Here is a 27,048-nt window from a genome sequence, read left to right on the forward strand (position 1 = left end):
TGTGTCCAGGAATTTATCCATTTCTTCTAGATTTTCTAGTTTATTTGCATAGAAGTGTTTATAGTATGCTCTGATGGTAGTTTGTATTTCTGTGGGATCGGTGGTGATATCCCCTTTATCATTTTTTATTGCATCTATTTGATTCTTCTCTCTTTTCTTCTTTATTAGTCTTGCTAGTGGTCTATCAATTTTGTTGATCCTTTCAGAAAACCAACTCCTGGATTCATTGATTTTTTGATGGGTTTTTTGTGTCTCTATCTCCTTCAGTTCTTCTCTGATCTTAGTTATTTCTTGTCTTCTGCTAGCTTTTGAATGTGTTTGCTCTTGCTTCTCTAGTTCTTTTCATTGTGATGTTAGGGTGTCAATTTTAGATCTCTCTTGCTTTCTCTTGTGGGCATTTAGTGCTATAAATTTCCCTCTACACACTGCTTTAAATGTGTCCCAGAGATTCTGGTATGTTGTGTATTTGTTCTCATTGGTTTCAAAGAACATCTTTATTTCTGCCTTCGTTTTGTTATGTACCCAGTAGTCATTCAGGAGCAGGTTCTTCAATTTCCATGTAGTTGAGCAGTTTTGGGTGAGTTTCTTAATCCTGAGTTCTAGTTTGATTGCACTGTGGTCTGAGAGATAGTTTGTTATAATTTCTGTTCTTTTACATTTGCTGAGGAGTGCTTTACTTCCAACTATGTGGTCAATTTTGGAATAAGTGTGATGTGGTGCCGAGAAGAATGTATATTCTGTTGATTTGGGGTGGAGAGTTCTGTAGATGTCTGTTAGGTCCGCTTGGTGCAGAGCTGAATTCAATTCCTGGATATCCTTGTTAACTTTCTGTCTCGTTGATCTGTCTAATGTTGACAGTGGGGTGTTAAAGTCTCCCATTATTATTGTGTGGGAGTCTAAGTCTCTTTGTAGATCTCTAAGGACTTGCTTTATGAATCTGGGCTCCTGTATTGGGTGCATATAGATTTAGGATAGTTGGCTCTTCTTGTTGAATTGATCCCTTTACCATTATGTAATGGCCTTCTTTGTCTCTTTTGATCTTTGTTGGTTTAAAGTCTGTTTTATCAGAGACTAGGATTGCAACGACTGCCTTTTTTTGTTTTCCATTTGCTTGGTAGATCTTCCTCCATCCCTTTATTTTGAGCCTATGTGTGTCTCTGCACGTGAGTTGGGTCTCCTGAATACAGCACACTGATGGGTCTTGACTCTTTATCCAATTTGCCAGTCTGTGTCTTTTAATTGGAGCATTTAGCCCATTTACATTTAAGGTTAATATTGTTATGTGTGAATTTGATCCTGTCACTATGATGTTAGCTGGTTATTTTGGTCGTTAGTTGATGCAGTTTCTTCCTAGCATCGATGGTCTTTATATTTTGGCATGTTTTTGCAGTGGCTGGTACCAGTTGTTCCTTTCCTCCAGGAGCTCTTTTAGGGCAGGCATGGTGGTGACAAAATCCTCAGCATTTGCTTGTCTGTAAAGGATTTTATTTCTCCTTCTCTTATGAAGCTTAGTTTGGCTGGATATGAAATTCTGGGTTGAAAATTCTTTTCTTTAAGAATGTTGAATATTGGCCCCCACTCTCTTCTGGCTTGTAGAGTTTCTGCCGAGAGATCTGCTTTTAGTCTGATGGGCTTCCCTTGTGGGTAACCCGACCTTTCTCTCTGGCTGTCCTTAACATTTTTTCCTTCATTTCAACTTTGGTGAATCTGACAATTATGTGTCTTGGAGTTGCTCTTCTCGAGGAGTATCTTTGTGGCGTTCTCTGTATTTCCTGAGTTTGAATGTTGGCCTGCCTTGCTAGATTGGGGAAGTTCTCCTGGATAATATCCTGCAGACTGTTTTCCAACTTGGTTCCATTCTCTCTGTCACTTTCCGGTACACCAATCAGATGTAGATTTGGTCTTTTCACATAGTCCCATATTTCTTGGAGGCTTCGTTCATTTCTTTTTACTCTTTTTTCTCTAAACTTCTCGCTTCATTTCATTCATCTGATCTTCAATCACTGATACCCTTTCTTCCAGTTGATGGAATCGGCTACTGAGGCTTGTGCATTCGTCACGTAGTTCTCGTACTATGGTTTTCAGCTCCATCAGGTCATTTAAGGACTTCTCTACACTGGTTATTCTAGTTAGCCATTCGTCTAATCTTTTTTCAAGGTTTTTAGCTTCTTTGCATTGGGTTCGAATTTCCTTCTTTAGCTCAGAGAAGTTTGATTGTCTGAAGCCTTCTCTCAACTCGTCAGTCATTCTCCATCCAGCTTTGTTCCATTGCTGGCGAGGAGCTGTGTTCCTTTGGAGGGGGAGAGGTGCTCTGATTTTTAGAATTTTCAGCTTTTCTGCCCTATTTTTTCCCCATCTTTGTGGTTTTATCTACCTTTGGTCTTTGATGATGGTGACATACAGATGTGGTTTTGGTGTGGATGTCCTTTCTGTTTGTTAGTTTTCCTTCTAACAGTCAGGACCCTCAGCTGCAGGTCTGTTGGAGTTTGCTGGAGGTCCACTCCAGACCCTGTTTGCCTGGATATCAGCAGTGGAGGCTGCAGAACGGCGAATGTTGCTGAACAGCAAATGTTCCTGCCTGATTGTTCCTCTGGAAGCTTCGTCTCAGAGGGGTACCCAGCCGTGTGAGGTGTCAGTCTGCCCTACTGGGGGGTGCCTCACAGTTAGCCTACTCGGGGTTCAGGGACCCACCTGAGGAGGCAGTCTGTCCATTCTCAGATCTCAAACTCTGTGCTGGGAGAACCACTACTCTCTTCAAAGCTGTCAGACAGGGACATTTAAGTCTGCAGAGGTTTCTGCTGCCTTTTGTTTGGCTATGCCCTGCCCCCAGAGTTGGAGTCTACAGAGGCAGGCAGGCCTCCTTGAGCTGTGGTGGGCTCCACCCAGTTAGAGCTTCCCAGCCACTTTGTTTACCTACTCAAGCCTCAGCAGTGGTGGGCGCCCATCCCCCAGCCTTGCCGCCGCCTTGCAGTTTGATCTCAGGCTGCTGTGCTAGCAATAAGCGAGGCTCTGTGGGCGTGGGACCCTCCGAGCTATGCACGGGATATAATCTCCTGGTGTGCCGTTTGCTAAGACAGTTGGAAAAGCACAGTATTAGGGTGGCAGTGACCCGATTTTCCAGGTGCCGTCTGTCACCCCTTCCCTTTGCTAGGAAAGGGAATTCCTTGACCCCTTACGCTTCCTAGGTGAGGCGATGCCTCACCCTGCTTTGGCTCACACTCGATGGGCTGCACCCGCTCTCCGGCACCCACTGTCCGACAAGCCCCAGTGAGATGAACCCGGTACCTAAGTTGGAAATACAGAAATCACCTGTCTTCTGCATTGCTCATGCTGGGAGCTGTAGACTGGAGCTGTTCCTATTAGGCCATCTTGGAACCGCCTCTCCCACATTTTCTTTATCTGTTCATCTGTTGATGGACGTTTATGTTGCTTCCATATCTTGGCTATTGTGAATAATGCTGCAGGGACCATGGAAGTGCTGATGTCTTTCTTGACGTAAAATTTCATTTCCTTATACACTCTGAGATGGGATTCTTGGATCATGTGGTAGTTGATATTTTCAGTTTTTTGGGGAATTTTAGTAATGGCTGTATTAATTTATATTCCTACCAGCAGTATACAAGGGTTCTGTTTTTGTCACATCCTCATCAACACTTACTTTGTTTTGTCATTTTGATAATGGCCATTGTGGCCTGGCACAGTGGTTCACGCCTGTAATCCTAGCACTTTGAGAGGTTGAAGCAAGAGGATTGCTTGAGCCCAGAAGTTTGAGACCAGCTTGGGCAACATAGTGAGACCTTGTCTCTGTAAAAAATAAAACAAAAATTAGCCATGTGTGTTGATATACAGCCATTGTCCCAGATACTTAAGAGACTGAGGTGGGAGAATCGCTTGAGCCTGGGAGGTCAAGGCTAGAATGATTCATGAATGCACCACTACACTCCAGCCTGGGTGACAGCAAAAAAGCCATTCAGGTGTGAGGTGATATCTTATTGTGGTTTTTATTTGCATTTTCTTGATGATTAGTGATGTTGAGCATTTTTCATACAGCTGTTGTCCATTTATGTGTCTTCTTTTGAGGAATGTCTATTCAAGTCCTTTGCCTATTTTTTTAATCAGGTTGTGTTTTTAGAACTTTCTTTCATTTAGTTTCCTTACGTATTTTGGGTATTAACCCCTTATCCGAGGTATGGTTTGTAAACATTTTTTTCCTATCTATAGGCTGTCTCTTTATATTATGGGAATTTTTAAACATATACACAAAAGAATAATAATCAGGGACTCTCTAAGTTCCTAATTCCTAGCTTCAAGAGAACATTTTCTTTTTTTTTTTTTTTAAAGAGAGTATAAATTAGTATTTCCTTAGTATTAGATATCTAGGAAGTTCTCTCTATTGTCTCATGAACTTTTTTTTTAATAGTTGGTTTGTTCAAATAAGGGTCCACTCATTACACACATAAGCTTAATAAGCCTTCTAGTCTGGAAGATTCCACCTTCTTTTTTCCTTTTCCTTTTACTGCCTATCCACATTCTGGATGTTACTAATTGTATCAAGTGTCATTTAGTGTCTTCTCCCGGCCCCTGTGTTTGCTATAAACTGGATTTAGTTCTGGTGGCCTGATCAGAACCAGGTTTGAATTCTTGGCAAGGATCCTTCCTTCTGCATCCTGTCGGAAGGCATGTGATGTCCAGTTGTCCCTTCATAATGCGATCGATCAGGTGCCAGAGGTGCTGGGGTTTTGTTTATTATTATTATTATTATTATTATTATTATTATTATTATTTAACTGCACAAGTAATATATATTGTTCCTTTACCCCCCCAAAAAAACAACAATAATAGACTGCCAAATTTTTGGACCTTTTCTGCATTTAGAGGTAGTTGAAATCACAAGGGAAAGTGGTGGTCTCTAGGTCAGGGATCCCCCACCCCTGTGGCTTGTTAGGAACCGGGCTGCACAGAAGAAGGTGAGCCGTGGGGCGAGAGCGAGCATTACCACCTGAGCTCCCCATCCTGTCAGATCAGCAGCAGCATTAGAGTCTCATAGGAGCAGGAACCCAATTGTGAACTGCACGTGGAAGGGATCTGTGTTGTGCACTCCTTATGAAAATCTAACTAATGCCTGATGATCTGAGGTGGAAGAGTTTCATCCTGAAACCATCCCCTCTGACCCTCTCTGTGGAAAAATTATCTTCCATGAAATCAGTCCCCGGTGCCAAAAAGATTAGGGGCAGCTGTACTAGGGCCACCCCCTCCCCTATTCCTGGTAGAAATAATTGCCTCTCAGAATGCTCTGGGTGAAGACAGGAGCCTCCTGGGCTGGATGGAGAGTGGAGAGTAGCGCAGAGTTAAATCATTTGGGGATCCTTCCACAATCCCCCATCCAATCACCCTGCCTACCACCTCAGTCCATGCTGCTCCTCCCATCAGTTATCTCTGAGCTTACTGTACTCACAGCCTGCTCCTAGAGCTTCTGCTATGGGAGAGAGGGTTGTCCAGTCCAGGCCACTGTGGCTTCTGCCTTTCAGGGATTCATTATAATTTCCAGTCTATCAGAAGCATTCTTGGTTGTTTCCTGATGGAATGAAACTGTTTTGAAATTGCCCATTCTGTAGGTCAGAAATGGTTGAATATCAGCAGTTTCATGTGGTTCAACCTAATAAATAATGGGGTTAGACTAAAATGGTTACATATTTCTCACCCCAAGTTATGTCCTTATAATGTATTTATACCTGACATTATATATTTGTGACCTGTTTCCCTCTAAGCCATGTGAGATCAAAGTCACTTTCTGCCCAGTTTGCACCATATCACCAACACCCACAACAGTTCCTGGCCCATCTTTGCTCTGTCAGTAATTTTTGAGGGCTTGAACATAGTCATTTGAATAGAGAGATAGGCTGGAGTTTGTGTTTTGGAGACATCTTGATCAAAATCTCAATGGCTGTCAACGTCCATGTGTTTGGAGGTAATAGTTTAAGAAAATGATTATAATATGATTGCTAAATAGAGTGGAATACAAAACTCCATATTCAGGATGATCCAGATGTATAAAGTATTACAGATGATACTGTAAAGTCTGAATTGGGCACTGAGCCTTGGGTTAATCTGTTACTTAAACAGTATGACTATACGCTGTTGCATTTCCCAGATCTTTTACTCACATGTCTTAAATGTAGATGTTTCACATACTGGCTCTTTCAAGAAAGCAGTTGGGTCAGAAGATGGAGACTAGAAAGAAAACAGGTATTGCCATCAGATCTGGTTTCATTCTATCTTAGCCAGGTAACCTTAAGATCTTCTACTATTTTTCTGTTTATGAGACATATGGATAACCTGCCCTCTTAATGTTTCCTTGGAAGTTCAAAGTCTCTAATAAGTGCCTTTTGTGGGATCTTGCATGTGTTAACCTTCTCAGTAACTGAGTGCCATTATTGAGAGTGTGTGCATACTGGCTGGAGGGTCCACTAGTTGACACTACTTTACAACAACAGGAGGAAAGAATCTGTTAAAAGAAGGATCCCTGGCAGGGTGCAGTGGCTCACGCCTGTAATCCCAACATTTTGGGAGGCTGAGGCAGGCAGATCACCTGAGGTCAGGAGTTCGAGACCAGCCTGGTCAACATGGTGAAACCCCGTCTTTACTAAAAATACAAAAAAAAAGTAGCCAGGTGTGGTGAGCACCTGTAATCCCAGCTACTCGGAAGGCTGAGGCAGGAGAATTGCTTGAACCCAGGAGGCAGAGGTTACAGTGAACCGAGATTGCTCCATTGCACTCCAGCCTAGGCAACAAGAGTGAAACTCCATCTCAAAAAAAAAGAAGGATCCCTAAGAGAATATAATTTAGCATGAAATCTCAATTTTTACATTGATTACTTATTTGGGGTGATAACGTTTTGAATATATTAGGTTAGACAAGATTTTAAAGTTAATTTTACCTGTTTCTCTTTTACTTTTTCAGTGACCACTAGAAATTTTAAAACTATGTAGGTGGCTAACATCATATTGCTGTTGGATGCATCTTTTAAGTGCTGCTGCCTTTGATTGAGCTGAGTGGGTTCCAGTTAACCAGGCTTGAGCACATATATCATTCATTATGTGTTTGAACATCTCATAGCAGAAGATGCCTTGCATATATATCATTCATTATGTGTTTGAACATCTCATAGCAGAAGATGCCTTGTGGTTAATGCCCTCTATGTGTTTTACTGATAGCACATTTCTTAGTAAAGTGAATCTTGGTGTATTGAGACGGGCATCTCCTACCTCCACTTGCTGATGGCATCAGATACAAATAGGCTGTGCCATTTTTAGCCTGGGGTTTCCCAGAGTCATACCCACAGCCCCAACTTGTTTAACAGGATTGTAACATCCTGTAAAGCCACCCCGTGGATTATAGAATTCCAGGGCAGCTGGGGCAGGAGCATTGAATCAGGAGGTTTCATCTTGACTCTGTTTGGCCCTGTGCAAATCACTTTACCCACTACACGTTGGTTCTTTCTTCCCAATGGAGGGCTGAATTGCACCATCTCTCTCTCTCATTCTTTTGTTGTTTTTTTTTTTTGTTTGTTTGTTTTTTTGAGACAGTCCCACTCTGTTGCCCAGGCTAGACTGCAGTAATGCAATCTCGGCTCACTGCAAGTGTGAGCCACTGTGCCTGGCCAGGCTCCTTTTCCCTACACTGCCCGTGTATTCTCTCCAGGGACTTACCTAGAACCACACACATTGGCCTATTGCCGTAAGTTTGTCAGCACGTTGTCTCAGAAAAAAAAAAAAATCCTCATCCTAAAGTGTTCTTCAAAGGCTAGCGAGATTGTTTAATAATACGGCTATTCTTATTTTATAGATGGCCAAGCTAAAGCACATCATTTTCTTTTCCTTCAGTGCCAGCATGAGCAGGGCGGGGGGACCAACCTCAGATTTAAGAAAGACATGTGGCTGATTTTTAGGGTTGTTTTTAGAAACATTAGATTTCTTCTCTAATAATGAAATATACTTTTGAAGGACTCTGACAATGCTGGAAGCTCTTTTAAGAAAAATGTCATTCTTATCTGAAAATCTTTTTTTTTCTTCTCTCTCTCATGCTACATTACAGCTGATGAAGTTAAAAAGCCTGGGCATAAGAAAAGGGGAGCCCTGGGTGTGACTGCCCTGGAAAAAGAGGTAGAGAGTGCAGTGGGTTCAAGTATGTTTGGGTATGTGCAGTCAGTCTTTGTGTCTTTCTCATTCAAGTAAATTCCATAGCAATTAAAGTGAAAATAATCATCTTTCATTTGTGAGTAGAGCATCCATAGAAAGCAACATATATCTTGGTCTAGAACTTAAATTCCAAAAGAATGTGTTATATTTTTCATTTTCCCGTTTTTGTTGCACAGGGACGAGTTTCCTGATGCTTCCTTGCCATAGGCCCTGGGCTCTGTGTGTAGTGTTCTTCCCAAACCAAAAATTAAAAATAGGAAAATCAGAATCTATACCAAGAACTTTGTCTAGGAGGCTTGTCTGCAGTAGGTTTCTTCAGTGCCTATGCCTCCTGCTGGATTGTGTTTGATTAATCCATTTCTTTTAACTTGTACAAGGTCCCCATTGTTAGAGCCACAAGTCATTTGGCCACTGAGGGTAAAAGATGGTTAGGAGTGGGATTTGTTCCACTTCTTTGCAGCGATTAAACAGTCAGTTTGAACTGGGGAAAGTATTTGACCTTTAGTCTGTCCTAAAAGAATGTCATCAGGCTGTTTATACATTAAAAGGCTCTCATAAGATATGTACTCCCAGATTCATAATTTTGGAACTTCTCTCCTATGGTACACACCCTTGTATGTATGCACACCTGGCTCTCACTGAGTCACTTATGGGAAACTGAAGCAAGTTTTTCTATTAATAGGGGAAAAAAGACCTCATAAAAGAGTCAAAGTAAATGAGACTTAGAGAAATGTAGAAGCATGACTATGCATCACTGGGCCTTTGCTTAGTTTTTATTCATCAGCCATGGAGAAGAAAGGCATGACTCTTTCCTGCCTCCCACACCCACCGGACTTGTAAAGCTCGACTTCGATGATGCATTATAAAGTGGTGCACAGGATTGGTTTTTAATGAGATTTTTGCCATTGGAGCAAAGCAAGACTGTTTCCCTGCCAGCTGCTTTATTCAAGTCATGAGGCATTTTGTTGTCTCCTCCTGTACTTGTGGTACATGGGCCCTCCATTTTCTAGCCCAGTTCTTGTTAGATACCTTTGCACATTCATTTGTATGTATGGCAGAACTGATGATATGGCCTTTCTTTCACCCCCAACTACTAACTGTCCATGCCATTAAAGATACATGGACAGGGGATTCCAGCAATTTCTACAGTTGCTCTTCTTTCTCTTTACCATTAATCCTGATGATTGTAGGAAATCAGTACACCATATTTATTATGCAAATCTAAGAAAAACAACTAGATCTATAAACTATTTGAAAAGATGCCCACATTGTATTTTTTTGTTGTTTTTTTAGATAGGATCTTTCTCTGTTGCCCGGGGTAGAGTGCAGTGGCCTGATCGCAGCTCACTGTAGCCTCTACCTCCTGGGCTTAAGCAATCCTCAGCCCGTCTAGTAGCTAGGATTACAGGAATCTGCCACTGTGCTTGGTAATTTTTTTTTTTTAAGGAGATGGGGTCTCACTATGTTGCCCAGGCTGGTTTCAAACTCCTGGCCTCAAGCAGTCTTCCTGCTTTGGCCTCCCCAAAGTGCTGGGATTATAGGCATGAGCCACTGCACCCAGCTACATATTTTTTAGAAAAGGATCAGATGAGTAGGACTTGCTCAACTGCTATCACTGTCAGAAATATCTCAAGGTGAAACTTGCAAACATATCAGTAAGGAGAAGGATGAGATTTCTTTTTTAATAGTCTTCTTTATCAGGAATGTTTTGCAGATATTGATTTTTTTTTTTTTTACAATGAGAAAAATATGACCAAAAACTGAATATTAAAGGAAGCAGAGTGTGATTCCCGGTGCTAAACAGTTTCTATAAAATGTGGCTAATAACATATTGGCCTGTTGTGCCTAAGGCCTGTGTTTGGGTTATGCCTTCTCAAAGAATGCAGTGGAAGAATCTCAGCTTAGAAGTGAGGACATCCAGAATTCTTTCCTGGCTGTGCCGTGAAATTCCTTTGTCACTTAGTGTCCTCATCTGCTAAATGAGGGTGTTGAATTGATTCCTAAAAGTTCTGGTATCCTCCCCTCTTCAGATTATTTCTTCAACTTATTTTCTTGGTAGAACTGGGAGAGGTTCGACTTTGCTTTTGTCACGCATTCTTACTCATCAGGAAAGTCCCGCTATAAACACAGTGCTGAGGGATCAGTTATGTCAGTCTGTTTCCTTCTCCCAGAGACCAGCCCTGCCTTGGGCTTCCCCTAGAACTTTATGTCATAGCATAAAGGCCCGTGTCTGGGCCCTGAGGTTGGGAGTATGCTCTGATGTCAAGTATTTGATCATTCTCTTTCTGCCTCTTGATGACTAGAAAGCGTTTTATGGTAAAGAGTTACGCAAGAAGCCTTTGTTTAGCTCTTTCTCTCATTGCTAAAAATAGTAAGCTGTTTTTAACCCTTACTGTTCTTACTTCTTCTTACTCATTTCCCTCACTCTTTAGCTGAGAATGTCACCTCCACCTTTATAGAGAAGACAGAAACTTAAGCATAAACTCTTCACCTTCCTTCACCTTCCCTTTCCCCAGTTACTTGCGTCCCTGTTCTTTGTCATCCTCTTGTCTGTAGCTGTCCTTGAAGTGGTGTCCACTATTCCCCTGGATGAGGTTCATTCTTACGTTCTGTTCCATAACCTAGTTGTGTTATTAACTTCCCATCATACATCCTTTTATTAAAAATCCTACACTACCAGTTTTTGAGTTCCTATTAGGTGTCACAATCAGTTAATCCCACTTACGGCATACAGCAGTCATTATTCCAGTTTATACTTGAAGAAACTTAGGCCCTTACTATGTTTCTGGCACTGCTTATTATCACAGCTCTAGAAGACATCTTCTATCTACCTTATCCTTCCCTTTTACAAAAGGTGAGAAAACTGAGGCCCAAAGAGGTTGTTGTCACCACCTATGTAGAGTGAGGATTTTTATTTTTGTGCTATTGTTTAGCATGATCTCATGAAATATAATAGAAAATAAGGGGAAACTATGGTACCTGTTTATTGAGCAGCCTTCCTTGACTGGGATATAAACATCCATTGGTTTTCCTCCTTTTTCATGCCACCACAAGCACTCAGGGGCACTCTTGATACCAGAACAGTGGGAGGATCTTAGTGATATTGGTCCAAATTCATAAGTTTTCACTTCTCTTTTTTTTGAGACAAGATCTCACTCTCGCCCAAGCTGGAGTACAGTGGCGCCACAGCTCACTGCAGCCTTTACCTCCCAGGCTCAGGTGATCTTGCCACCTCAGCCCCCCAAGTAGCTGGGACTACAAGGGTGTGACACCATACCCAGCTAATTTTTTGTATGTTTTTGTAGAGACAGGGTTTCACTATGTTGCCTGGGCTGATCTTGAACATCTAAACTCAAGGGTTCCACCCACCTTGGCCTCCTAAAGTGCTGGGATTACATGTGTGAGCCTCACTTCCTTCTGGTTATAGAGACAGAATTGTTCCACTTCTTAGTCTGATGTTTCTGTCAGAATTTTTTCTCATGACTGCCTATTCACGCTGCTGTTTGATTCTTGGGATATATTTTAAATGATGGGTAGATTCACTTCCCCTAAACCGTCCTCCTTATGAGCAGCCGTTATTCTGCTCTGCCAGTAAATTAATTGACTCACGATTCTGCATGTTGGGGCTTGTTGTGGATACAGACCGTATTCTGAAATGTCCTCAGAGGTCGATGATTGTGTTTGCTTCTGCCAGGGGATGGGTGTTTGCCCTCAGCTTGTTTGCAACACCACATTTCCTCAAAGGAAACGTATTAACTAACAGCTATCTTCAAGCCAATGTAAGAGTCTTGATTCAAGAAACAACCTACCAGTCAGTCTATTTCTAGGCTTTTCTCCCTCTCTTTGAAAGTGCCAGTGTTCTTCCTTTCACTCTCTTGAACTCATTTTTCCTGCCAGCACACATCATTTTGTCTCCTTTACTTTTCCATAGGCTGTTTTTTTTTATTTGTCTACTAGCTTTTCTTATCACATATCCCTGCTTGACAACCTTAAGCAATTTGTTGGATACCCTTGATTTGAGGCCCATCAATATGTCATACTTTGGGATTGGCAGAAGAAATGTTTAGAAGCATATTTTCCATAAATGATAGTGACAAGTGCCAAGCACTTGCTTCATGTTGTCTCATTCAGTTTTCACGGGGACTTTATAAGGTAAGTGGGATTACTCCCGTTTAAGGAAACTGATATAACTGAGGTGCAGAGAGACGAGAGTGACTTTCCCAGAGGCACACAGCTAGTGAGTGGTAAAGCCAGTAGATAAGCCAGTCCCTGAAATCCGTGTTTTCCAGTAGGATCCCAAGCTATGGGGAGATAAAAATTAGTCCCCTTGCCTAGCTAGAGGGCTTTAAAGGTTAAAGCAAGAGGAAGAAGCAGACCTTATCTTTTAGTTCTGTAAGTTTGGAGTGTATCGTGGGTCTCACTGAAACTAGAAAAATTGTCAGCACGGCTGCATTCCTTTCTGGAGGCTTAGGGTAGAATCCCTTTCCCTGCCTTTGCCACTCACCTTGGCATATGGCCCTCATCCATCTTCAGAGCCAGCAATGGCAATGGAGTCCTCACCTCTCATCATGCTGACATTGACTCTTCTGCCTCCGTCTTCCACATGTGAGGACTCATGTGAAGACATGCCGCACACCTAGTTAATCCAGAATAACCTTTCTATTTTAAAGTCAGCTTGTTAGCAACCTTAATTCCATTTGCTCTCTTAGTTCCCCTTTGCCATCTAAAGTAATATATTCATAGGTTCTAAGGGTTAGCATGTGGACATCTTCGGAGGGGCCATTATTTGAAATCTAAAATGGAGATGTTATTGCATCGCAGTCTATTGGGAGGTAGCCACTGGAGGTTTTTGCAGCCTTGTTTTTATATTTAAGCAAGGGTGTATATGTGTGTCTTAGTCTGTTCAGGTTGATACAACGGAATACCATAGACTGGGTAGCTTCTAAGCAACAGAAATTTCTCACAGTCCTGGAGGCTGGGAAGTCCAAAAAAAGTTGCCAGCAGATTTGGTGTCTGGTGAGAACCTACTTTCTCACAGATAGCACCTTCTTATTGTGTCCTTACATGGTGGTAGAAGGGCGACCTAGCTCTCTGGGATCTCTTTTATAAGGGGTCTGATCCCAATCATGAGAGATCTGCCTAATCACCTCCAAAAGGCTCCATCTCCTAATACCATCACATCTTGTGAGTTTGGATTTCAGCATAGGAATTTTGGGAGGACACAAAACTTCAGACCATAGCAGTAGGGATGTTGCTAATACCTCACGAAGAAAGAACTTAAAGAAGCTGAGTAATTTGCCCAAGACCACACAAAAATTCATTCGAATCCAGGGACAAAACTATATTTCCTGTGTTTTCTCCATGTCACTCAGAAAATTCAGCATGAGGGAGAAATATGATTCTTAATATAGAATCATATTTCTATATTGAAATATGATTTCAATATAGCTGTTTTGGCTAGAACTTGGAAGTGAACAGGCAGGCTTAATTGGGCAACAGTCCCCACTTTGTGGGGTGTGATCGGCAGGCTTATTCCAGGCTTCTTGCTGAGTTATAAAACTTCTGATTTATCTGATAGAGACCTTCAGAAGGAGGACTGGTGCTATTAAAATTATACACATTTCATTCTGGAATTTCTTTTGAGGGCATCATCCACTCCCCTCAGCTGTGATTGTAAACCTCATTGCTCTTGGTCAGAATTTCATTCAGCATTAACAATGACACATCCTGTTATGCTGTGCAGGTGTATTGCTGTTTATAGGAATTTAAGTTTAGATCATTAAATGTTTCAATACTGAATGTATTGACAGTTAAGTTGATGACGCAGAAAACTACAAATAGCTGGGCAAACTATAAGAGGTGTTTCTCGTCTGCACCTTCCCTTCTGGTATCTTGATAGTATAGCCCAAAAATGGTTTTAAGCCCTTGCTTCTCCCCCAGGGCTACCCTCTTTGCTTGCACCTTACAAGGTTGAGTGTTGTGAGGCCCCATCTGGTGCCGACTCCAATTCTGTCTCTAGCCCAGACCCACACTTGTGAGCTGCTATGAGTTATCTGGGCATCTTGGTTGACTTAATCTTCCTAACATCCTTGTAAATAGGTGGATGAATACTATGTTTTATGATTGGAAAATGAAGAATCAAAAAGATATGGCAATTTGGTTTAAGTCCACATAGCTAGTAGTTAGGGAGCTTTGTTGAGAAAGAAAAATGCATGAGAGGAAATTAAGACTGTAGTTAATAATTATCAGGTGCATATTAACGTTGCATGAAGCTTAACTTAAATACATGTTATTCTTAAGGTTAAAAAGTTCAAAACAAAGGCGGGGGTTCCAAGGCAAATGGGTGGGGATAGACAGGAGATGGGCAGAGGTAGATGAAATGCGGGTGTTATGGTGTGGAAGTCAGTTGGAGTATAGCCACTGGAGGCTTTTGTGGCCCTGTTCATATCATAGTTATAAGTGGGATGTTGCTAATGCTTGACTCATCAAAGGCTGAAACAAAGCCAGAGCTGAAGTTGAGTACGTGTCACCGTTTTATTGGTTAATCTTTCAAAAAGAGAAAAGCCTCTGTTTATACAGGCTGAAACAGTCATTTGACCTGTTCTTCAACTCCATCTGGAATTGCTTTGGGGTTAACTTAGCATTTCCCCTAAAGCGCATATGACAGTGGGTTGGGAGGAGCTCGGATGGGGTTTTTGTTCCTCCAGAGCGCTGAGGCCTTATTTCTGAGTGAGGTGGCCTTGGTGCCAGCTAATGCCACTGTTTAGTGTGTGATGAACTAGAAGTAACAGGTTAATTTTGGCCAGTAGACTTGCCAGCTGTGTAAACGGAACCAGTGAAACTATTTCTCAGTGCTGCCTCCCACCCCTGGAAGAGGACATCATGTTATCTACCTGCCCCTGTTGGCTTCCCTTGACCCATCTCTCCCATGCTGTCCCCTCCTCCCTGTGTTACTCATCAGTTCAAATTTAGAATAATTGAATGCACAGAGAAAGTGGCTTGTTCTGAAAACTTCTGACAAGAAATTTCCAGGTGACTTGGTGCTAGATTAATTTTAGCCTCTCTTATGGATTCAAAACTGTTTTGTCAGAAGACTTGAACTAAGACACTTTAGAATTAATTACGGCTGGGAAAAAGAACAATCTAAATGAGGCAGCGAACAAAGATTCCTAAATATGGAGCAAGACAAGTGGCTCTTTATTTCAGTGGGTCACTGGCATGAAAAAATATAGTTGGGGTTACAGGCAGGAATTACTCTTAGAGACATGGGAATTAAATGCAAGGTAAGTACCTTGTTTGGACCCTGAAACTAACAAAGCAACTGTTTAAAAACAAATTTTTTTAAGACATTGGGGAAATTTGCATCTGCTCTGAGTCAAAGCCTGGGATTTGTGTTTGTGAAAAAGCTAATAGAGGAAGCAAGTTGGACACAATTTAAGAAATTGTTGAATCTGGGTGATGTGTATATGGTGTTAAGTATATGATTTTCCACGTCTGTGATGATGAAACATTTTTGTATTGACTTCTTAAGTGTCTTACCTGGCCTTTCTGAGCCCACAGTTGAGTTGCACCTGCAATCCAAAGTGGTTACCCCGTCACGGCTGCCAGACCACAGACACTTTAATTCTTGTTGTGCGGTGTGTTGCTGCCAGCCCAGAGCCAAAAAAGCGGAATACCACCCTGAAGCTTTTGTAAACAATTGTCTTTAGCTTATCCAGAGGAATTGAGTCTGGAGTAAAGACCCAAATATTGACCTAGATAAAGTTGACTCACCAGCCCTCGGAGGATGGAAAGATGGCCTTAAAATAAAACAAACAAAAACCTTTTTTGCTTTATTTTGTAGGACCACTATGAGACCTCAGTCCTTCTATGATGGAAGTCATTCTTGTGCCAGAGGAGTGTGCCATATTCCAATGGCTGAGCCGTTTTGCCCCAAAACGAGAGAGGTGTGTAGTCTTTCTGGAAGGTGTACCAGAATAAATCATGTGGGCTTGGGGTGGCATCTGGCATTTGGTTAATTGGCAGAGCGAGTGGCCCCATACCCTCACTCAAGTTTGCTTTGTATTATGCAAAGTTTTATGAAGAGTTATTTCCTGTTGCTAATAATTTCCTGTTCCTCTGTTACTCTCAGTCATTTTAAGCTGAACCACTCAAAGTTGCAACCTACCTTTTTAATAAGTTTTGATTTTGCTATCTAGATAAAATGATTTAACATAGAATATCACATTACTCAAGAGTATGCAGTCTGGAGCCAGATTACTTAGGATCAAATCTCTGCTCTTCAACAAAGTAGCTGTGTCCAAGAGGACAAATTATTTGACATATGTGGGTTTCAGTTATCTTACTTCTAAAATGAAGATAATTATAGCATGTACCTTATAAGACTGTGTGAGGGATGAGAGAGTTAATACTTAATGAAGTCTCTGAACCATGCCTGTCAGTTATGGAACATCCAATGGCTGGTAACTGCTTTTGTGAATTAAATTACTATTATTGATCTTCTAAAAATGGTCAGATTGGCAGCTGTTGCCTTTGACCTGAGTTTGGCCATTACTGCCCAGCCTTCTGTCTACCATTATAGCCAAATCACAGAACTATGGGGACAGCCCCACAAGGGCCAGTGGTGGTATAAGGGGTGGAATCACAGTTTTAGTTCCCAAGCAACAAAAATGGCTACCATGACTAAGAAGCCTATGGCTTGGTCCACATGTGCTACTTCTCTTATAATCCCAGGTTTGAAAGTCAGGTGCAACTCAAAAGATCAGAAGTATCGTTAGAGATTAACTGCTTCATAAAATCTCCCTTATGAGTTAACTTAGAGAATATAAATACCTAAACACGTTAGTTATTCAGATAATGTTAACACCTGCATATAGAGAGTAGATGATTTCTTTTAGCATTTATGTTTTATCCTACATAATCACAGAAAACCCATTTCCTTATAGTTAACAGCAAGGGCACCTAAACTGAGGACACAGGGTTGGGAGAAATATTTCTAGTCTCAAACAAGAATTTGGAATCTAAAACCGAGTACTGAGGGAAGCCATTTCGGAGATACCACTGCGCATTGATTTTCTCTGACTTCTAGGAAAGTACGTCTTTTACTTGGTTTTTTTTTTTTTTTAAAAAAGTGGCAGGCGAAGTTTGTATATGTATGTATAGCATGTTTCTGGATAGTTATCCACAGAATGTATCAGAATGCTGCTAGTCTTCCTCTGAAGCACAGATCTGTCCACATAATAGATTTGCTATCCTGGGGGAAATGAAGTATGGATAAAATTCTTGTCCACTTCAAAATGGGGGCAGCTTGGGAAGAAATAGTCTAAGGAGAGAATATGCATGCTCGTATGAATCTGAGGTCAGTTCTCAGGCAAAATACAGTGACTTGGGGAACTAGGAGTAGAGGTAGATGGGGAAAGCACAATGGAGCTGTATAGAGCACATGTAAATGTGGGTCTGTGGTGATAATTTCCAGTAATCCAAGTTAGCCTCCCTTGAAGCCAAATTAATTCAGCTTCATAAAGACTGAGAGAATACTGGGAAAGGCAATTTAAGAAAATGGCAAAATAAGCATTCAGAAAGAAATTTTTAAATATTATCCAAAAACATGAAGAGTAAATAGTGCTGCCACTTGGTAATTTTCACTTTTAACATCCACATGATCTTTCATGTACTGATGGAATAGGACTGTCATGATGAATTGTCAAGTGGCAAGCAAGATACTCAGTGGTTGTACCATATTCTACCATTTATGTTAAAGTATGTATATATACAAAGAAGTAAGTATGTAAATATTTATATACAAATAAAATATTTTTGGAAAGTTAACAAAAAAAGCTGGTAACAGGAAACAGGGAAGATGGCAGATAAGAGACAGGGCTGGCCACCACGGTGGCTCACGCCTGTAATCCCAGCACTTTGGAAGGCCAAGGCAGGCGGATCATGAGGTCAGGAGATCAAGAACATTCTGGCTAACATGGTGAAACCCTGTCTCTACTAAAAATACGAAAAGTTAGCCAGGCATGGTGGCAGGCACCTATAGTCCCAGCTACTTGGGAGGCTGAGGCAGGAGAATCGCTTGAACCTGGGAGGCAGAGCTTGCAGTGAGCCAAGATTGTGCCACTGCACTCCAGCCTGGGTGACAGAGACTCCATGTCAAAAAAAAAAAAAAGTAAAGAAAAGACAGGGCTAACGTGCAGCTTCCACAAGGACGGACAGAATAGCATATGGAGACACTATGATCTTTTGTTCCAAGAACCACTGTAGGAACTTACCGGGAAAACCAAAAGAATTCAAAGATCCTTTGAAAGAAGTGGCACACCACTGCAAATTCTGCAAAACAGGCAAGAAACTGAGTTCCCAAAGTGTGAGTCGGGGAGAACCTACCTCTGAATACACATCCCCACTGGGGAAATCTAAAAATCCAGATCATGGAGGAAGAATTTAACCTTACCTAGAGGTGAAACGGATTTAGGGGGTTATGTGAAATATGAAAGTAGAAGTAGCAACAGGAAGTGCTTTGGATGTACTCCCAGTCTCCAGCTTGAGTCCAGGGAAGCCAGCCCTGACTATATCTCACAGTGGCCCTCAGGTAAGGCAGCCAGTGGAATTGGAGAGTGATGGCAGGGCGAAGGAAGCTCCCAAATGAAATCAGTAGTGGTTTCAGCTGGTCACAAATTTTCTCAGGCAGAGTCCAAGGGACTAATGGGAGCCGCAGCAGATACAAGTGAGTACAGGAGCTGCTGCTGATGGAGTGGGCAGGTGGGAAGGGGTGAGGTCCAAAGGCCATGCTTGCTTTCCCAGTGGGGTAGCTCACAGCCTGGGGCAAGGTCTGAGCAGGGCACTGCAGGAGTGAGACTAGCCTCACCAACTGCATAGTAGCTGGATGAGGCCTCTTGCTGCTGGCTCTCCCCCACTACCCTGGTAAAGTTTATGATACAGCAGAGGCAGTCAAGATCTCCTCTGGAACATAAACCCAGTGGCCTGACAAACCACCCCCATCCCCCAATTTCCCACAGTGTCTGCAGCAAGCCCTGCCCAAGAAGAGTCTGAGCCCAGAACCACCTAACCCTGCCCCAACCTGATGGTATTTCCCTACCCACCCTGGTAGCCAAACACAAAATATTTATTGCCCTGCCTATTGCCTGGGAAACCAAAATAGTTACCTTGGGCATCTTAGGGCAAGCTTAGAGCCCCCTACTCCTTCTGCAGCTGGTGCTCTCTTGAAAGTGCCACCTCCTGGCTGGAGGCCAGTCAACTGAGGCCATTACAGCAACTCATAAAACAATAACCCTGATCCCAGGACGGAAAAGACAACACCTAATTTCACTGCCTGCAACATCCTGGCTAACCAGAGATCCTGAATATGTCCACATGACAACTTCACTGCTAGCATAAGCAGCATTCAAGAGAGCCAGCACATTAAACATATCTACAACCAATGACTCTTGCAGAGTTTACTTCACTTCCCTGCCACATCTACCAGAGCAGGTGCTAGTAGCCACAGCTTGGAGACCTGAAGATGGATCACATCGCAGTACTCATTGCAGACATCCCCCAGCAACAGCCCAGAGCCTGGTGGCCTCAATGGGTGGCTAGACCCAGAAGAGCAATAACAGTCACTGCAGTCCAGCTCTCAGGAAGCCCCATCCCTAGGGGAAAGGGGAGAGCACCACATCAAGGGATCACCCCATGAGACAAGAAAATCTGAACAGCAGGCCTTGAGTTTCAACCTCTCCACTAAAATAGTCTACCAAAATGACAAGGAACCAGAAAAGCAATTCTGGTAATATGACAAAATGGGGTTCTGTAACACCCCCAAAAGATCACACCAGCTCCCTAGCAATGGATCCAAACCAAGAGGAAATCTCTGAATTGCCAGATAAGGAATTCAGAAGATTGGTTATTAAGCTACTCAAGGAAATAGCAGAGAAAGGTAAAAACCAGCATAAAGAAATTTTAAAAAACAATACAGGATATGGATGAAAACTTCTGCAGAGAAATATCATAAAGAAAAAATAAATCACAGCTTCAGGAAATGAAAGACACACTTAGAGAAATACAAAATGTAGTGGAAAGCTTCAACAATAGGCTAGAACAAGTAGAAGAAAGAACTTCAGAGCTTGAAGACAAGGCTCTTGAATTAACTGAATCAAGACAAAGAAAAAGAATTTTAAAATGAAATTTTAAAAGAAATTTGGGTTTATGTTAAATGGCCAAACCTAAGAATAATTGGTGTTCCTGCAGAAGAAGAGAAATCTGAAAGTTTGGAAAACTTATTTGAGGAAAACTTTGCTGGCCTTGCTACAGATCTAGACATCCAAATACAAGAAGCTCAAAGAACACCTGGGAAATTTATTGCAAAAAGATGATCAGCTAGGCACATATTTATCAGGCTATCTAAAGTCAAGATGAAAGAATCTTAAGAACTGTGAGACAAAAACATCAGATAACCTATAAAGGAAAACCTATCAGATTAATAGCAGACTTCTCAGCAGAAATCTTACAAGCCAGAAGCCAGAAGGGATTGGAGTCCCATTTTTAACCTCTTGAAACAAAATTATTCTCAGCCAAGAATTTTGTATCCAGTAAAACTAAGCTTCATAATTGAAGGAGAGATAGTCTTTTTCAGACAAACAAATGCTGAGAGAATTTGCCACTATTGAGCCAACACTACAAGAAATGCTTAAAGGAGTTCTAAATCTTGAAACAAAACCTCAAAATACACCAAAATAGAACCTCATTAAAGCGTAAATCTCACAAGACCTATAAAACAATAATACAATGGTGAAAGAACAACGTCTTTAGGCAAAAGCTAGCATGATGAATAGAACAGTACCTCACATCCCAATACTGATGTCGAATGTAAATGACCTAAATGCCCCACTTAAGAAAAGATACGCAATGGCAGAATGGATAAAAATCTACCAACTAAGTATCTGCAGTCTTCAGGAGAATCACCTAGCACACATGAACTCACAAAAACTTAAGGTAAAAGGGTGGAAAAAGATATTCCATGCAAATGGAAACCAAAAGCAATTAGGAGGAGCTAGTTTTATATCAGAAAAGAACAGACTTTAAAACAACAACAGTTAAAGCAAAGAGGGACATTATATAATGATAAAAGGAGTAGTCCAACAGGAAAGTATCACATTTCTAAATATATATGCACTTAACACTTGAGCTCCCAAATATATCAAACAATTACTAATAGGCCTAAGAAATGACATAGATGGTAACACAATAATAGTGGGGCACTTAAGTACTCCACTGACGGCACTAGACAGGTCCTCAAGACAGAAAGTCAACAAGGAAACAATGGACTTAAACTATAACCTAGAACAAATGGACTTAACAAATATATATACCCAACAACTGCAGAATATACATTCTTTTCATCAGCACATGGAACATTCTCCAAAATAGAACATATGCCACAAAACAAGTCTCAACAAATTTGAAAATCAAAATTATATCAAGTACTCTCTCAGATCAAAGTGGAATAAAATTGGAAATTAACTCCAAGAAGAATCCTCAAAACTATACAAATACTTGGAAATGAAATAATCTGCTCCTGAATGATCTTTAGGTCAACAGTAAAGTCAAGATGGAAATTAAAATATTCTTTGAGCTGAATGATTATAGTGACACAACTTATCAAAACCTCTGGGATACAGAAAAAGTGGTGCTAATGGGAAAGTTCATAGCATTAAATTCCTACATCAAAAAGTCTGAAGGAGGACAAATCAACAATCTAAGGTCACACTTCAAGGAACTAGAAAAACAAGAACAAAGCAAACCCAAACCTAGCAGAAGAAAAGAAACAGCAGAGATCAGAGCAGAACTAAATGAAATTGAAACAAAAAAATACAAAAGATAAATGAAACAAAAATATTTGAAAATTTAAAATTGATAGACCATTAGTGAAATTAACCAAGAAGAGAAAAGATCCAAATAAGCTCAATGAGAAATGAAACAGGAGATATTACAACCAATACCACAGAATACAAAAGACTATTCAAGGCTACTATGAACACCTTTATGCACACAAACTAGAAAATCTAGAGGAGATGAGTAAATTCTTGGAAATATACCACCCTCCCCAATTAAATCAGGAAGAAATGGAAACCCTAAACAGACCAATAACAAGTAGGAAGATTGAAACAGTAATTTTAAAAAATTGCCAACAAAGAAAACATCCAAGACCAGAGGGATTCACAGCTGAATTCTATCAGACATTCAAAGAACTGGTACCAATCTTACTGAAACTATTCCAAAAGACAGAGAAAGCAGGAATCCTTCCTAATTCATTCTGTGAAGCCAGTATCCCCCTAATTACAAAATCAGAAAAGAACATAATAAAAAAAGACAACTACAGACCAATATCCCTGATGTACGTAGATGCAAAAATCCTCAACAAATTACTAGCTAACCAAATCCAACAGCATATGAAAAAGATAATACACCATGGTCAAGTGGGTTTCATACCAGTGATGAAGGGATGGTTTAACATAGGCAAGTCAATAAATGTGATACATCACATAAACATAATTTAAAACAAAAATCACATGGTCATCTCAATAGATGCAGAAAAAGCATTTGACACAATCCTCCATCTAGTTATAATTAAAACCCTCAGCAAAATTGGCATAGAAGGGACGTACCTCAAGGTAATAAAAGCCATCTATGGGCTGGGCACGGTGGCTCACACCTGTAATCCCAGCACTTTGGGAGGCCAAGGCGGGCGGATCACAAGGTCAGATCGAGACCATCCTGGCTAACACGGTGAAACCCCATCTCTACTAAAAATACAAAAAAATTAGCCGGGCATGGTAGCGGGCGCCTGTAGTCCCAGCTACTCGGGAGGCCGAGGCAGTGAATGGCGTGAACCCGGGAGGTGGAGCTTGCAGTGAGCTGAGATCACGCCACTGCACTCCAGCCTGGGCAACAGAGCGAGACTCCGTCTCAAAAAAAAAAAAAAAGCCATCTATGACAAACCCACAGCCAGTGTTATATTGAACAGGGAAAAGTTGAAAGCATTCCCTCTGAGAACTGAAACAAGACAAGATTCCCACTTTCACCACTTCTGTTCAACATAATACAGGATGTCCTAGCCAGAGCAATCAGACAAGAGAAAGAAATAAAGGGTAAAAAATCAGTAAAGAGGAAGTCAAACTGTTGCTGTTCACCAATGATATGATCGTATACCTAGAAAACCCTAAAGACTCATCCAAAAAGCTCCTAGATAAATGAATTCAGCAAAGTTTCAAGATGCAAAATCAATATACTCAAATCAATAGCACTTTTATAGACCAACAGCAACCAAGCTGAGAATCAAATCAAGAACTCAACCTGCTTTACAACAGTTGCAGGAAAAAAAAAGTAAAATGCCTAACCAAGGACATGAAAGATCTCTACAAGGAGAACTACAGAACACTGCTGAAAGAAATTATAGATAATACAAAAAAATGGAAACATACCATGCTCAGGGATGGGCAGAATTAATATTGTTAAGAATTCTTACAAAAGCAATCTGCCAAAAAGCAATCCACAAATTCAATGCAGTTTCCTTCAGAGTACCACCATCATTCTTCACAGAAATATAAAAGTATCATATTTCTGCCAAAAGCAATCCACAAATTCAATGCAGTTTCCTTCAGAATACCACCATCATTGTTCACAGAAATATAAAAAAAAAAATCCTAAAATTTATGTGAGACCAAAAAAAGAGCCCATATAGCCAAAGCAAGACTAAGCAAAAAGAACAATCTGGAGGTATCACATTACCTGACATCAAACTATACTACAAGGCTATAGTTATCAAAACAGCATGGTACTGGTATAAAAGTAGGCATGCAGACCAGTGGAACAGAATAGAGTATCCAGAAATAAAGCCAAATATTTACAGCCAACTGATCTTTGAAAAAGCAAAACAAAAACATACACTGAGGAAAGGACACCCTATTTAACAAATGTTGCAGGATAATTGGCAAGCCAGATGTAGAAGAATGAAACTGGATCTTCATCTCTCATATAAAAATCAATGCAAGATGCATCAAAGACTTAAATCTAAGACCTGAAACCATAAAAATTCTAGAAAATAACATCGGAAAAACCTATCTAGGCCTTGGCTTAGGCAAAGAGTTCATGATCAACAACCCAAAAGCAAATGCAACAAAAACTAAGACAAATAGATGCAGCTTAATTCATCTAAAATGCTTCAGCACAACAACAAAAAATAATAATCAGTGGAATAAATGACCACCCGCAGAAAGGGAGAAAATATTCGCAAACTATGCATTCAATAGAGGACCAATATCCAGAATCTACAGGGAACTGAAACAAATCAGCAAGAAAAAAAAAAAAGGTCGCTAAGTACATGAATAGACAATTTTCAAAACACATGGCCAACACACATGAAAAAATGCTCAAAATTACTAATCCAGGAAATGCAAATTAAAACCACAATGCGATACCACCTTACTCCTGCAAGAATGGCCATAATTTAAACATCAAAAAATAATAGATATTGGTGTAGATGTGGTGTAAAGGGAACACTTTTACACTGCTGGTGTGAATGTAAACTAGTACAATGGAAAGCCATATAGAGATTCCTTACAGAACTAAAAGTAGAACTACCATGTGATCCAGCAATCCCACTCCTATGCGTCTACCCAGAGGAAAATAAGTCATTATATGAAAAAGACACTTGCACATGCATGTTTATAGCAGCACAACTTACAATTGTAAAAACTATGGAACCAACCTAAATGCCCGTTGACCAATGAGTGAATAAAGAAAATATGGTATATATACAGCATGGGTGTGATGGTTAATACTGAGTGTAAACTTGATTGGATTGAAGGATACAGAGTATTGATCCTGGGTGTGTCTGTGAGGGTGTTGCCAAAGGAGATTAACATTGAGTCAGTGGGCTGGGAAAGGCAGACCCACCCTTAATGTGGGTGGGCACAGTCTAATCAGCTGCCAGCATGGCTAGAATATAAGCAGGCAGAAAAATGTGAAAAGAGAGACTGGCCTAGCCTCCCAGCGTACATCTTTCTCCCGTGCTGGATACTTCCTGCCCTCAAACATCAGACTGCAAGTTCTTCATTTTTGGAACTCTGACTGGCTCTCCTTGCTCCTCAGCCTGCAGACGGCCTATTGTGGGACCTTGTGATAATGTGAGTTAATACTTAATAAACTCCCATTTATCTATCTGTCCCATTAGTTCTGTCCCTCTAGAGAACCCTGACTAATACAGATTTTGGTACCAGGAGTGGTTCTAGAGGAACAGAATATTAAGGATGGAGTTCTTTTATTGGTATGAGGTTTCTGGAGTTGACTGCTTAATATGATTAGACCCAAAGATGCTAAGGACTCTACTTCTAATAATATGGATAACACCAATAGTCCTTGACTTGAACTGTTTAGAGAGTTATGCAAAATAAATATATTTGAGACTCCTGATTCATCACTCGTGAGAGGCAAGGACTCTACATAATACCTTTGACCATATGTGGAATCACCCTTAGTGACTCTGTACATAATACCTTTGACCATATATGGAGGACCAGGGAACATAATGAAGCTGGTTGGTTGCTCCTAAGTTCAGTGGACAAAGTGATGAAAGAAAATAATGAACTCAGGGATTGTATCTCCCAGCTCCAGCAGCAGATACTGAGCCTCAGATCTGCTAAGATTGTTCTGAATGAAAGACTTATCTCCTGTAGAGAAAGAGCTGAAATTGTGGAAAAACAGACACAAGCTCTTATCATGTGAGTGGCTGACCTGCAATGAAAGGTACATGCACAGCCTCGCCAGGTGTCTACTGTTAAAGTGAGAGCATTGATTGAAAATAAATGGGACCCTGCAACTTGGAACTGGGATGTGTGGGAGGACCCTGATGAAGCTGGGGACACTGAGTTTGAAAACTCTGATGAACCTTATTTACCAGAAGAAACAGCTTTCCCATCCCCAGAAGTGGCAGCATCCCCTCCCTGACCTATGCTGCCATCAGCCTTTTCACCTTTGTCTGAGGAGATAAACCCTGTGCGGCCTGAGGCAACAGTGATGGCCTCCCCTGAGGCAGTTGCCAGGCAAGATAATGTTGATTCTTCTCAGGAGCCACCCCTAAGACTCCCATTTGCTTCTAGACCTATAACTGGACTGAAGTTCCAGCAGGCCCCTAGAGGTGAGGTTGAGATTGTGACCCATGAGGTGGTGTGCTACACTCAAAAAGAACCGCTTGAGTTTTCTGATTTATATAAACAGAAATCTGGAGAACAGGCATGGGAATGGATACTAAGGGTGTGGGATAATGGTGGAAGGAAAATGGAGTTGGATCAGGCTGAATTTATTGATTTGGGCCCACTAAGTAGGGATTCTGCATTTAATGTTGCAGCTCTGGGAGTTAAAAAAGGTTCTAATTATTTACTTGCTTGGTTTGCTGAAATATGGATTAAAAGGTGGCCCACTGTGAACAAGCTGGAAATGCCTGATCTCCCTTGGTTTAATTTAGAGGAGGGGATCCAAAGGCTTATGGAAATTCAGATGGTGGAGTAGATTAGTCACTTTAGACCTATTTATCCCTGCTGGTCCAGAAAATATGCCCTTGACCAATGCCTTGCAAAACAGATATGTGAGGGCAGCACTGGGATCTTTGAAGAGCCCTGTAATTGCTCTTCTCTGTATGTCAGATCTAACTGTGGTAATGTCAGATCTAACTGTGGGAACCGCAGTCACTCAACTACAAAACTTAAATACAGTGGGAATAATTGGATTCCAAGGCAGCAGGGGCCATGGCGGCACTCAGCTGTCAAAGGCAAGGTGGGCATAGCTACCATAATGG

The 27,048-nt window shown here is 41.1% G+C and overlaps 1 protein-coding gene across 8 annotated transcripts in view, besides 4 other annotated features; it reads left to right on the forward strand.

Annotated features, from left to right (window-relative positions):
* The window catches only part of MTAP (methylthioadenosine phosphorylase), a 138,480-nt gene that overhangs the window by 19,231 nt on the left and 92,201 nt on the right, over positions 1 to 27,048 (forward strand). For all 8 annotated transcript variants that reach the window (NR_173242.1, NM_001396044.1, NM_001396043.1 and 5 more), the window contains exon 5: positions 16,042 to 16,144. Coding sequence is in view for 7 of the 8 variants with exons in the window: in NM_001396044.1 (NP_001382973.1) it covers positions 16,042 to 16,144 (103 nt within the window). In the remaining variant the exon portion in view is untranslated. The remainder of the gene's footprint in view (positions 1 to 16,041; positions 16,145 to 27,048) is intronic.
* Positions 10,066 to 10,375: an enhancer, noted in NCBI's record as "active region_28242". NCBI's record gives its function as "activates an Ori minimal core promoter by ATAC-STARR-seq in GM12878 lymphoblastoid cells {active_cell/tissue: GM12878}" and the evidence as "EXISTENCE:reporter gene assay evidence [ECO:0000049][PMID:35858748]".
* Positions 10,066 to 11,442: a biological region, named in NCBI's record as "P300/CBP strongly-dependent group 1 enhancer GRCh37_chr9:21832108-21833307".
* Positions 10,243 to 11,442: an enhancer, noted in NCBI's record as "P300/CBP strongly-dependent group 1 enhancer chr9:21832108-21833307 (GRCh37/hg19 assembly coordinates)". NCBI's record gives its function as "activates an origin of replication core promoter dependent on BRD2, BRD4, P300/CBP, MED14 and CDK7 cofactors, with strong dependence on P300/CBP, by STARR-seq in HCT116 cells {active_cell/tissue: HCT116}" and the evidence as "EXISTENCE:reporter gene assay evidence [ECO:0000049][PMID:35650434]".
* Positions 11,692 to 11,831: an enhancer, noted in NCBI's record as "active region_28243". NCBI's record gives its function as "activates an Ori minimal core promoter by ATAC-STARR-seq in GM12878 lymphoblastoid cells {active_cell/tissue: GM12878}" and the evidence as "EXISTENCE:reporter gene assay evidence [ECO:0000049][PMID:35858748]".

Source organism: Homo sapiens, chromosome 9, assembly GCF_000001405.40.
Source record: "Homo sapiens chromosome 9, GRCh38.p14 Primary Assembly".
In the NCBI taxonomy this organism is placed as follows: domain Eukaryota; kingdom Metazoa; phylum Chordata; class Mammalia; order Primates; family Hominidae; genus Homo; species Homo sapiens.